At 40.0% G+C, this 12,198-nt stretch overlaps 1 long non-coding RNA gene across 7 annotated transcripts in view; it reads right to left on the reverse strand.

Moving 5' to 3' along the window:
* LOC105375199 (uncharacterized) overlaps window positions 1-12,198 on the reverse strand; it is a 191,528-nt gene that overhangs the window by 108,096 nt on the left and 71,234 nt on the right. For 5 of the 7 annotated variants that reach the window (XR_927114.3, XR_927113.3, XR_927117.3 and 2 more), the window contains one exon: window positions 11,107-11,457. The exons of the other annotated variants lie outside the window; for them this stretch is intronic. This is a non-coding gene — a long non-coding RNA (uncharacterized LOC105375199). The remainder of the gene's footprint in view (window positions 1-11,106; window positions 11,458-12,198) is intronic. 7 annotated transcript variants of the gene reach the window in all.

Below are 12,198 nucleotides of genomic sequence, written 5' to 3' on the forward strand. Positions count from 1 at the left end.
TTTCTTTCCTAGGAATATATAGAAATAATCACTCAAGTATATAAAAATATTGTAGCACAACACTGTTTGTTGCAGCCTTGTTTCCAGTGCTAAAAAATTGGAGACAAGAGGGAGCCATTGTGGCTCCGGCTGGTTGCGCTGGCACTCAGGGTAGGCGAGGCTACGAGTTCGAGGCCAACCTGGTCCACATTGGTTGAAAAAAAAAAATTAAAAAAAAAAAATTGGAGACAAACTCAAATAGCTACCACCATGAAATTGGTTAAATAATTTATGGGGCACCATGCAAATTAGGGTCCTATGGAGGCATGGAAATAATGTGTAGCTCTCTATGCACTGACCTGGAAAGACGTCACAATGTATGAAATGAAAGAAGAAAAAGATTGAATGACCTTGTTTTTGTAAGAAATAAATAATAATCATATTACATGTTATTAGTCTGAGAGAAAAAAGTCTGTGTATAACCAAGCTAGTCCTAGTCATTATTATTTCTTTTCTTTTTTTGAGATAGAGTCTTACTTTGTCACCCAGGCTGGAGTGCAATGGTGTGATCTCGGCTCACTGCAACCTCCACCTCCCAGGTTTAGGCAATTCTCGTTCCTCAGCCACATGAGTAGCTGGGACTACAGGCACAAGCTACCACCCCAGCTAATTTTTGTATTTTTAGTAGAGATGCGGTTTCACCATGTTGTGCAGGCTGGTCTCGAGCTCCTGGGCTCAAGTGATCCACCTACCTTGGCCTCCCAATGTGCTGGGATTATAGTTGTGAGCCACTGTACCCGGCCCCCTACTCATTATCTTTAGAAATTTTTCTTTCATTTCATATTCCTTTTATACTTTGTTTTTTTACAAGCACATATTAATTTAAGAAAAATTGAGACAGGCTCTCATTCTGTTGTCCAAGCTAGAGTGCAGCGAGGCGATCATGACTCACTGCAGCCTCAACCTCCCAGGCTCAAGTGATCCCCCCACCTCGGCCTCCAAAGTAGCTAAGACTACAGGCATGTGTCACCATGCCTGGCTAGTTTTTTAAATTTTTTTTGTAGAGAGAATCTCCCTGTGTTCCCCAGGCTAGTCTCTAACTCCCGGGCTCAAGTGATCCTTCTGCCTTGGCCTCCCAAAGCGCTGGAATTATAGGCGTGAACCACGACACCTGGCACACATATTAATTTTAAATCAGAAAAAAATAAAGATATGTATCTTTACTCTGGTCTATACTTTGTCTCATTTGGTCCTGTGATTACCCTGGGAGGTATGTAAAACAGGAGAAGAAACTGAGGCTCAAAGGAGGTCAAATGACTTGCCCAAGGTCACCCTGCTGTCAAAGACCACGTCGGTAACAGAGTCCAATCCATCTGACCCGCAGTTAGTGCTGCAGAACACTAAGTCCCTGAATTAAACTTTTAACAGTAGCATTAGCCCACCCTTATTCAAAGTCATGATGCATCTTTACCTGACAAACTGTATGAGTTCTGTGGTTAGACCTCAAGAAAGATGCAAAAGGCATGGAAAAGATTCAGGGAGAAGAAACCGCAACAGTCTAAACAGGTGGTGCGATTTCTATACATGGGACAGAGAGAGAGGGCTTGGATTTTAAAGTTGAGAGTATTTAAGACTAAAGTTTACTCTTTAATCTCAAAACCATAGAAGAAACAGATGCATGGAACAGAGATCTGTTCTTTAAGTTCCAGGACTCTAAAATGAGAAGACATTATTTAAAGTTTGAAAATACTAGCTTTGGGTACATATAAGATATTATCAGTAGAAAGTATTAGACCAAAGCTGACACAAGGTGAAAATATAAATAATTGACATTTATATCACTTCATAAATAATAAGTCGATAACTGTGTAATCTGGGAGCCCAGGGCCAGGCTTGACCTGACACAAAACACCCCTCAGAGTCACTGCAGGGACAGAATTTCAGGCTGTGGGCCACCAGCATGACTCAGTGCCACATTTATGATTAACTTTATCTTCCTTTTCCATTCCTTGAGAGCAGTAAGATTTCTAATATTTTAAATCATGTGCTTTGGGTTTAGCTTTCTTTTTTCAAAGTAGATCATTTTCAGCTATTTGAATTTGCTTTTGTATTGTTGCTGAAGACAACACCTTATTGAACCCATTATTATTGTACATTATTGTACCCAGACCCTCTCCTATTTGGTATTCAGCAAATCTTGTGACCTTCAGTTATTCTTCTCTTGGATATTTTTGTTTATTATATGTATTGTATTTTCAAAAATTACTCTCAATATTGAATGTATTAGAGTTAACAATATCATTATCCTAAAGATTCAGGCTACTCTCCATTTTATACCCAGCTCTTGTTTATTTAAACATAATCTAGTCTTTGTCAAATCTATGTATCCCCAAATCTATGTCTGAAATTTTCATCTACTAAATCATTATATCATTTACTAATAAGTTATATACTAGAATATAATTATATTAGTGTAATATAATAGGTGATATTAGTAAACTACCTTGAGATACAGAGATATAATTGGTGAGGTCATGAAGAAGGCACAAGCATGTCACTAATCTCTCTCCCCACGACCCTTCAGAATGTTCTTTCTGTCTTCCTCAGCATATACAAATGAAGCAAAAGACTGTGCACTTTAAGATTTATTTTCTTTTTCACTCTGATTCTTTCCAAATTCTCCACATGCAATTTTGACAAATGCACAAACTACTTGTACAGAGCGGTTTTGCTGCCCTACACATGCCCGGTGCTCCACCCATTCATCCCTCTCCCCCCACCCCTAGCAACCACTGATCTTTTACTGTTCTATAGTTGTGCCTTTTCCTGATGCCATACAGTTGGACTCATACAGTACATAGCCTCTTCAGATTGGCTTCTTTCACTTAGCAATATCCATTTAAGGCTTTTCCATGTATTTTTATGGTTTGATAGCTCATTCTCTTTTTTTCTGTTCTTTTTTTATTAACTTTTTTCCTTTTATTTTTAGTTGACACATGTATTTGTATGTATTTATGGGATACAAAGTGATACTCCAATACATGTATACAATGTGTAATGATCAAATCCAGGTAATTCACATATACATCACCTCAAATATGTATCATTTATTTGTGTTGGGAACATTCAAAACCTTCTCTGCCAGTGTTTTGAAAATATACAATAAATTACTGTTAGCTATATTCATCCTACAGGGCTATAGAATGCTAGAACTTATTTCTCCTATCTAGCTGTAATTTTGTATTCATTAACCAACCTCTCCCTATCCTCCCCTCCCCACTACCTGTTCCAACCTCTAATAATCACAATTCTACTCTACTTCCATGAGCTCAACTTTTTTAGCTCCCATATATAAGTGAGAACATGCATTATTTATATTTCTGTGCCTGACTTATTTCACTTAACATAATGTCCTCCAGGTTTATCCATGTTGCCTCAAATGACAGGATTTTATTCATGTTTATGGCTAAATAGTATTCCATTGTGTATATATACCACATTCTCCCTACTTATTCATCTGCTGATAGACATTTAGGTCGATTCCGTATCTTGGCTATTACGAATAGTTGTACTATAAACATGGGGTGTAGATATCTCTTTGGTGTACTGATTTCCTTTCCTTTGGATAAATTCCCAGCAATGGGATTACTGAATCATATGGTAGTTCTATTTTCAATTTTTTGAGAAATCTCCATACTGTTTTCCATAATAGCTGTACTAATTTACATTCCCACCAACAGTGTATAAAAGTTCCCTTTTCTCTGCATCCTCACCAGCATTTGTTATTTTTGTCTTTTTCATAGTAGCCATTCTAACTGGGGTGAAATGACATCTCATTGTGGTTTTGGTTTGCATTTCCCTAATGATTAGTGATGTTGAGCAAGTTTTTCACACACTAGTTGGCCATTTGTAAGTCTTTTGCAAAATGTCTGTTCAGATCCTTTGCCCACTTTTTAAAGTGAATTATTTGGTTTTTTTTTCCTGTTGAGTTGTTTCATTTCCTTATATATTCTGGATATTAGTGCCTTGTGAGCTTAATAGTTTGCAAATATTTTCTCCCACTCTACAGGTTTGTTTCTTCTTTCTATCAATTGTTTCCTATGCTGTAAGGAAGCTTTTTAGCTTGACATAATCCCATTTGTCTATATTCGTTTTTGTTGCCTGTGCTTATGAAGTGTCACCCATAAAATCTTTGCTTAGATCAATGTCCTGAAACATTTCCCCCATGTTTTCTTCTAGTCATTTTATAGTTTTAGGTCTTACATTTACGTCTTTAATCCATTTTGAATTGATTTTTGTACATGGTGACAGATAGGGGTCTCGTTTCATTCTTCTGCATATAGATATATAGTTTTCCCAGCACCATTTATTGAAGAGGATTTTCTTTCCCCCAGTGTATGCTCTTGACTCCTTTGTCAAAAATCTGTGATCTGTAAATAGATGCATTTATTTCTAGATTCTCTATTCTGTTCTACTGCTCTATCTGCCTGCTTTTATGCCAATACCATGCTATTTTGGTTACTATAGCTTTGTAGTATATTTTTGAAGACAAGCAGTGTGATGCTTCCAGCTTTCTTTTTGCTCAGATTGCTTTGGCTATTTGGGATCTTTTGTGGTTCCATATAAATTTTAGAATTTTTTTTTCCATTTCTATGAAAAAATGTCATTGGTATTGGTATTTTGATAGGGATTACATTAAATCTGTATATTGCTTTGAGTAGTAGGGCCATTTTAACAATATTATTTATTTTAATCCACAAGCATGAGATATCTTTTCATTTTTGGTGCCCTCTTTGATTTCTTTCATCAGTGCTTTTTAGTTTTCATCATAGAGAAGATCTTTTACCTCCTTAGTAGCTCATTTCTTTTTAGCACTGACTAATATTCCATTGTCTGAATGTACTCAATGGGATAGGGAAAGAGATGAATAGGTGAAGCACAGAGGATTTTTAGGGTATGAAACTATTCTGTAGGATACAAGAATTATGCTTTTGTAAAAACCTGTAGAATTGTTCAACACAAAGAGCAAAACTTTATGTAAACTATGGATTTTAATTAATAATAATGTGTTAATAGTTAATATTGGTTCATCAATTTTAACAAATGTACCACACTAATGTGAGATGTTAATAACAGGGGAAACTAGTGGATAGTGGGGCTTCATGGGATCTGTCTGTACTATCTGCTCAATTTTTTCTTGAATCTAAATCTGTCCTAAAAAATAAAGTCTATTAATTTAAAAAAAAAAAACAAAAAACTTTCTAAGTGTTTTTCCAGCATGAAGATGCTGCTGCCAATGCTCTAAGCCCCTCCTCCAAGAGTGATGGTGAAGAATTAATGTTTCTTCTTCTAACTCTCAATGGCCTGTCCTGTGAGCAGGGAAATAGGAGTATCTCTTTTCAGGGGTAATAAGCAACTACCTTACCTCTGGAGAGACTAGTCCTTCCCCCATCCCATGTGGTCTTGGTAGGATGGCCAGTCACATTGTCTCTTCTCATCCAAAGGATGAGCATGTAACCCAGAGAGGCCAACCACTCACCCTCCCAGAAACAAGGAAACACAGGGGCAAAAATAATAGGAATGAGTCACTCTAATGAAAGAGCCACAAAGAGAATGTTCTGTCATTCCTGCTGCCTGCTTCTACCCAAGACCTGATGATTCAACTCTATCTGCACAGGTTTTCAACATGTTTGCAAAAATTCCTTTTTTCTTGAATTAGCCAGAGACATTTGGGTATCTGACAACCAGAACTCCACTGAGACATGCAGGGAAAAAAAAATACCAAAAGCCCAGTCTTATTGCTATGGTTTGAATATCCCTTCAAAAACTCATGTTGAAATTTAATTGTTAAATTTAATTTAAATTGTCATTGTAGTAGTATTGGGAGGTGGAACCATCAAGAGGTGATTAGGCCATGAGGGATCTGCTCTCAGGAGTGGATTGATGTCATTATGGTGAGAGTGGGTTCAGTCATCATGAGAGTGGCTTTGCTATAAAAGCAAGTTTGGCCCCCTCTTGAGCTCTCTTGCCCTTCTGCCTTCCACTATGGAATGTCACAGCAATAAGAGCCTCAGCAGATGCCAAGCAGATTATGGCACCATGTCCTTGGACTTCCCAGCCTCCAGAGCTGTGAGCCAAATACATTTCTTTTCTTTATAAATTATCTACCTTGTAGTATTCTGTTATAGCAACACAACTGGACTAAGACAGTCATTTATAATAATTTCTACCTAAGTAAAATGGTTAAAATTATCTAAAAGAGAAAACAAGGGATGAGGAAACAGCATATTGCTAATGTTTAAGGAATGCTTTCTACATGCCAGACTCTGAGCTGGGCACAGGAGTGCAGAGATTAGTAAAATATAGGTTGTATTTCAGAGACACAGAATGATCAAATGTATAGAATGTGGGCTTGGGACAGACCTGGGTTCAACCTCTCTAGTCTGCTCTTACTTCCTGTGGGCCCTTGTTCAAATCACTTAACCCTCATGCAGCTTAGTTTCATCATCTCAAAGGAATTTAAAAAGTCTATAGCCATACCACCCTGAATGCACCTGATCTCATCAGAGAAATAAAAAGAGCCTAGCTTTCATGAATATTGCTGAAATTAAAAATAATTATGTACAGCACCACTATGGCGCCTTGTACAATGAAGACATAAAATAAACTGACTTAAGAAATGGAAAGTTACCATGACCTTTGAAGCCTTGGGTTGCCCATTCCTAATTGCCTCTCCCCCAAATTTCTCTCCCACAAAGAGGTAATCTTTTTCGTGTCTTATTATGTTCTTTTTCTTGTATCCTAAAGAAAATATTGCTTGGGCCAGGCATGGTGGCTCATGCCTGTAATCCCAGCACTCTGGGAGGCCAAGGCAGGTGGATAGCTTGAGCCCAGGAGTTCTAGATCAGCCTGGTGATCATAGTGAAACCCCATTTTGTATGAAACCCCATTTTGTATGAAAAATACAAAAAATTAGCTGGGTGTGGTGGTGGGCGCCTGTGGTCCTAGCTACTCAGGAAGCTGAGGTGGGAGGATGGTTTGAGCCCAGGAGGCAGAGGTTGCAGTGAGCTGAGATCATGTCACTACACTCCAACCAGGGCAACAGAACGAGACCCTGTCTCAGTTTAAAAAAAAAAAAAAAAAAAGGAAGAAAATATTGCTTGGGTTTGCCTGCTTTCAATCTTTAGATAAAAGGACTCATGCTTGCTTTTTCTGCCTCATGCTGTGACTTTCCTTTGTTCACTCAAAGCACTTTTGAGATTCATCCATATTGACTGTGCAGCTGTAGTTCATTCATTTCGTTTCACTGGTGAATGGCATTGTATGGCATAAATATACCACAACTTAATTATTAATTCATTCTCATGTTGATGGTCATATCAATTGTTTCCAAATCTTTGCTGTGAACATTATTCTGCAGGTCTCCTGGTGTTTCGATGCAAGAGTTTCTCAGGATCTCTGACCGGAATTACTGTATGTGCATACATTCAACTTTGCCTAAGTAATGACAACTTGTTTTCTGATGTGGTTGTTCTAATTTGTACTCCAAATCCCATATATGAGAGTCTGCATTGTGCCCAACACTAAATATCAGACTACATTTTTTGCCAATTCGATGGGTATAAATAGTATCTCACTGTGATTTTAACTTCCATCTCCCTGATTACTAATAAGGTTGAAAATCATCTTATATGTCTATTGGCCATTCATGCTTTTGGAGAATTCCTATTTGTGTCCCGTAACTAATTTTCTATTGGGTCATTTGTCTTTTTCGGCTCTATTCTAAGGCATACTCTGTGTATTCTGGAAACTAACCTTTTGTCAGCTATACATGTGCAAGTACCTTTTCCCAATTTGGGGCCCGTCTTTTCAATCTCTTTATGGAATCTTTTGATGAACATAAGTTCTTAAAGTCAGTGGAGTAAAATATATTCATCTTTTCCTTTATGACATAATTTTTTAAAGAAAATATTTTTCAATTCACTTCTGATGCATCTCTCTTAATTGTTAAGCAATTTTTTTCCTGAAGCCTGCATATCATCAAGGCTAAGCCATGAGGCTTAGTGTCCCAGGGAAGAAAGGGCAAGTCCCGTCTAGGGTAGGGAAAGAAAGCAGAAGGAAATGACGTAAGGGTGAGTTCCCACCAGGGAGAATGAGGAATCTGAAGCCCTTCCAGGAGAAGTGGTGGTAATAGAGAGAGATTTGCAGAGAAGGAGGCAAAGAGAAGACGCTACCTGAGTCTCTCAGAGACTAAGCACTGCCTCCACCTTGGGCCTTACACTGGCCAGAAGAACATAATCCAAAATAAGAGAGAAGCTGAAAGTGAATGGGGCTTGTGCCACTTCTCTGAAACTGTGGAACAAGACCATCTCACAGGGTATTCCTTTGTCAAGATGTGACACAAAGTGTTCCACGTCTCTCCCAGTTCCTTTGTAGAATGAAGGGGATTCAGATGGTCCAGTGGGCTCTCCCACTGAGTGACACAGAAGCTAGTTGACCACTGAGGGCCAAGAGAACTGCCATATGGCTGGCAAGGCTAGTGTGAAAGTGATCCGTAGCAGAGACCACAGAATGGACATTCCAGGCCAGAATTGGATGGAGAATATGGAAGAGGATTAGAGCATCTGCACAGCCAGCAAGGGTCAATGTGGAGCTCAATCAGCGAAAAGAAGCCTACCAGCTCCTGATCAGGCCAAAGGATAGGCCATGAGTTATGTCAGCTGCAGCCTTCAACAGCAGATGCCAGCAGGATGCCTGGAAATGAGATGATTAATTCACAATTCTGAGGAGGTCAGCATGAACACAGACAACAGCACAAGGACCATCACCTGAACCAGCCATCCTCCCCTACTGCCATGAGGATGGGTAAACCTTCCCTATGCCTCTAGAGAAAGGATAAGAGAAAGGCTTTCAAAGAAGAGAAACAGCTCCTCCCCACACACACAGCCCTCATGAAAATGGGGCCTTGAGACTAAGATGAGAGTAGTTAGAGAAAATAAAAGCAAACTACCTTTTTCTTTTTGCATATTTGAGAGATTCTATGTACCTCTCTACTCCGCTTCAATAGTTATTATTATGGTCCTCATTGTATATGGGAAGTCTGAACATGCAAAAAAAGATTATAGTACAATCTAAATACAGTAACTGAGCTATACACAATATACATAGAGCCCATAGAAAAGGCAGAAATTAGCTACATATATTAGTTTTATATTGCTGTATAACAATATTACCACAAACTTAGCAGGTTAAACCAATACAGTTTTACTTATCCACAGTTTTACTTTCCATGGTTTCAGTTACTCATAGTCAACTGTGGTTCAAAAATATTAAATGGAATATTTCAGAAATAATTCATAAGTTTTAAATTATGCATCATGCTGAATAGCATAATGAAATCTTGCACCATGCCGCTGCCTCCTGCCCAGGACATGCATCATTCCTTTTTCCAGTGTATCCACACCATATATACTTCCCATCTGCTAGGCACTTAGTAGCTGTCTCGGTTATCAGGTCAAAAAAGCATAGTATATGCGGGGTACAGTACTATCCACAGTTGCAGGTACCCACGGGGAGTAGGTATCCACGGGGGGTAGGTATCCATGTAGCTGGGTCCTCTGTAAGGCTTCAATCAAGGTATTGGCCAGGGCTGGGTCCTTATCTGAAGGCTTAACTGTGGAAGAATCTGCTTCTAAGCTTACAAGGTTGTTGGATGCATTTAATTCCTTGTTGGTGGTGGACTGAGAGCCTCAGTTTCTTCTTGCTGGTGTCAAGTTCCCTGCCACGTGGGCCTCCCCAACATGACTGCTTGCTCATCAAAGCCAGCAAGGGAGTTCCTCAGCAAGATAGATATTAGAGTCTTATGTAATGTAACCATGGAAGTGATATCTCCTTTGCCATGTTTTATTAATGTGAAGCAAGTCACACATGCTGCTTACACTTAAGGGGAGGAGATGAAGGGTGAATGCCAGGAGACAGGGTCATGGGAGTGCCTTAGAGACTGTCCACTATACTAGGCAAGGTGGGTGGCTGGGGAAGACATGCCAGATGTGACTTCTCAGAGGAGACACAATCTGAGCTGGCTTTTGAAGAAGGTTAAGAGCCCCAGAATTGCTTGGCAGCCCCAGAACCTAGTCAATGTTTAGCGTTATAGGAGGAAAGAACAAATGTTTGTGAATGACAGTATTGACATCGGGAGAAAAGTCTGGTCACCCTTATAGGAAAGAAGATTGTATTTTACATGAGGCAAAAACAAGAAAAATAATTGTCAAATCTCATCTCAATAGCAATAAGTAACATTAAAGCCCTTCTAGCAATATTAAAATGGGAGAGGTCACTGCATTAATGTCTCAGCAAGCCTCACCAGGAAAGCGTAATGAACATCAAGGGCACTGAAACGACAGGAGATGATCTAATGCAGGAAGCTCCCCAAATACTATATTTATACAAATGATAAATAGGTTTCAAGAAAGGAGAAACCAACTAATGTTGATGACTAGGGAAATAAATAATATTAGAACTTTACACTGCAGTAGCATCTTTCATCTGGGATCCTAAAAAGCTTTAAGAGTAATTAAATTTGGGTGCTGCATCAAAGTAGACCCATTTTTAAAACAAAAATATGGATTTTATGCCCTTCAGCAGATGTAGCACTGAATAGTCTCACAGATAATGAAACAAAACCTGGAGATTATTTTCTCTTGAAGAATGTTTTATCATTGTTTCCAAGGTTCTAAATTTGTAACTAGCTGAGTCTTACGGAAATGCAGGGTGGAGCCACATTTCTTTCTATATATTGGAAAAGAGGCAGCAGTTTCAGCCCAGGTGGAGTGTGTGGGGATTGGGGGTTAGAAGCAGTCCCCATGGAAAACCCACCTAGGGAACAGGAAGCAAACATTGGGTCGCCCTTGACATATGAAAAAATGACATGACATTTGGAAAGCATCCATCTGTGTCAAACTCTGTTCTGGTTTTCAAGTATCATTGTTGGAGTGCCTCTGAGTCTCAAAAGCCTTCTGTGTTTCACATTGTTTCCGTGTCAGAGACAAGTCCATGTTTAGTTACTTGGGAGCAAGCCTCCATTCCTGGTTGGTGGTCTCAGTATGCTACCAGATCTTGCCATCTTACCATTTGAAGCTCCTGTGACCATGTTGAACCCACTCGCAACCTGGGTGTGTCTGTGGGAAGCCTGCATCTCACAGGGACATTAACACCCCTGCTGGGAGACTTAGCGATTCAGACAGGAAGTTTCATCCTCAAAATCAAGTCTCATATGCACCCTTCCATGTTCCACTGTGCCTTCAAGATGTGTGAATCAGCTTGCTGCTTCGGCAGCAGAACGTGGAGACAGCTTTCCACCCCCGGTTTTCCACGGGGCAATACACGGACCATCGTGTGAGCTGGCGGTGCAGAAGCATAAAGCTCCTTGGCCATCATTCCGTTCACAATCATTCCGTTCACAACAGGGCCATGCTGCATCTGGGGAAAGGCCGGTGATCATGTGAGCATGAGTGGTCATGGTCTATAAGGAGGATACAAAAGAATCTCGGAAATAGACACCATTTATTCACCAGTTCCTACTAGAAGAAATAAGTTTTGAGCCCTTCAACTAAAATAATGTGAAGAAATATTCCTGAAGTTAGATAGGCAGAGGATTAGGAATGTGGGAAGATGCTTGACTGAAGGTTCAACCGATCTCCTGTGTTTAATTTATTAATATGGAGTTCTAGCTGGGCATCTGATACTCAAAGACAAGGGAACAAAGCTTCACAGCCTGTTACAGCTTTGGACTTGGCCCAGGCTCATGCCCATCTCCAAAGCGGTCAAGTCCTATTTGTCCTATAAGAAGCACCTGCTGGCCAGGAGCAGTGGCTCACACTTGTAATCCCAGCACTTTGAGGGGCCAAGGCAGACAGATCACGAGGTCAGGAGTTCGAGACCAGCCTGGCCAACACAGTGAAACCCTGTCTCTACTAAAAATATGAAAATTAGCTGGGCGTGGTGGCGGGAGCCTGTAATCCCAGCTACTTGGGAGGCTGAGGCAGGAGAATCGCTTGAACCCGAGAGGCAGAGGTTGCAGTAAGCTGAGATCGTACCGCTGCACTCCAGCCTGGGTGACAGAGCGAGACTCCACCTCAAAAAAAAAAGATGCACCCGCCGTTGACAACCTCCCCAGGCTTCTCATCTATGAGTCATCCACCCTCCCCAAACTCCTCACCA

The sequence above is a fragment of the Homo sapiens genome, chromosome 7 (assembly GCF_000001405.40).
Source record: "Homo sapiens chromosome 7, GRCh38.p14 Primary Assembly".
NCBI lineage: Eukaryota > Metazoa > Chordata > Mammalia > Primates > Hominidae > Homo > Homo sapiens.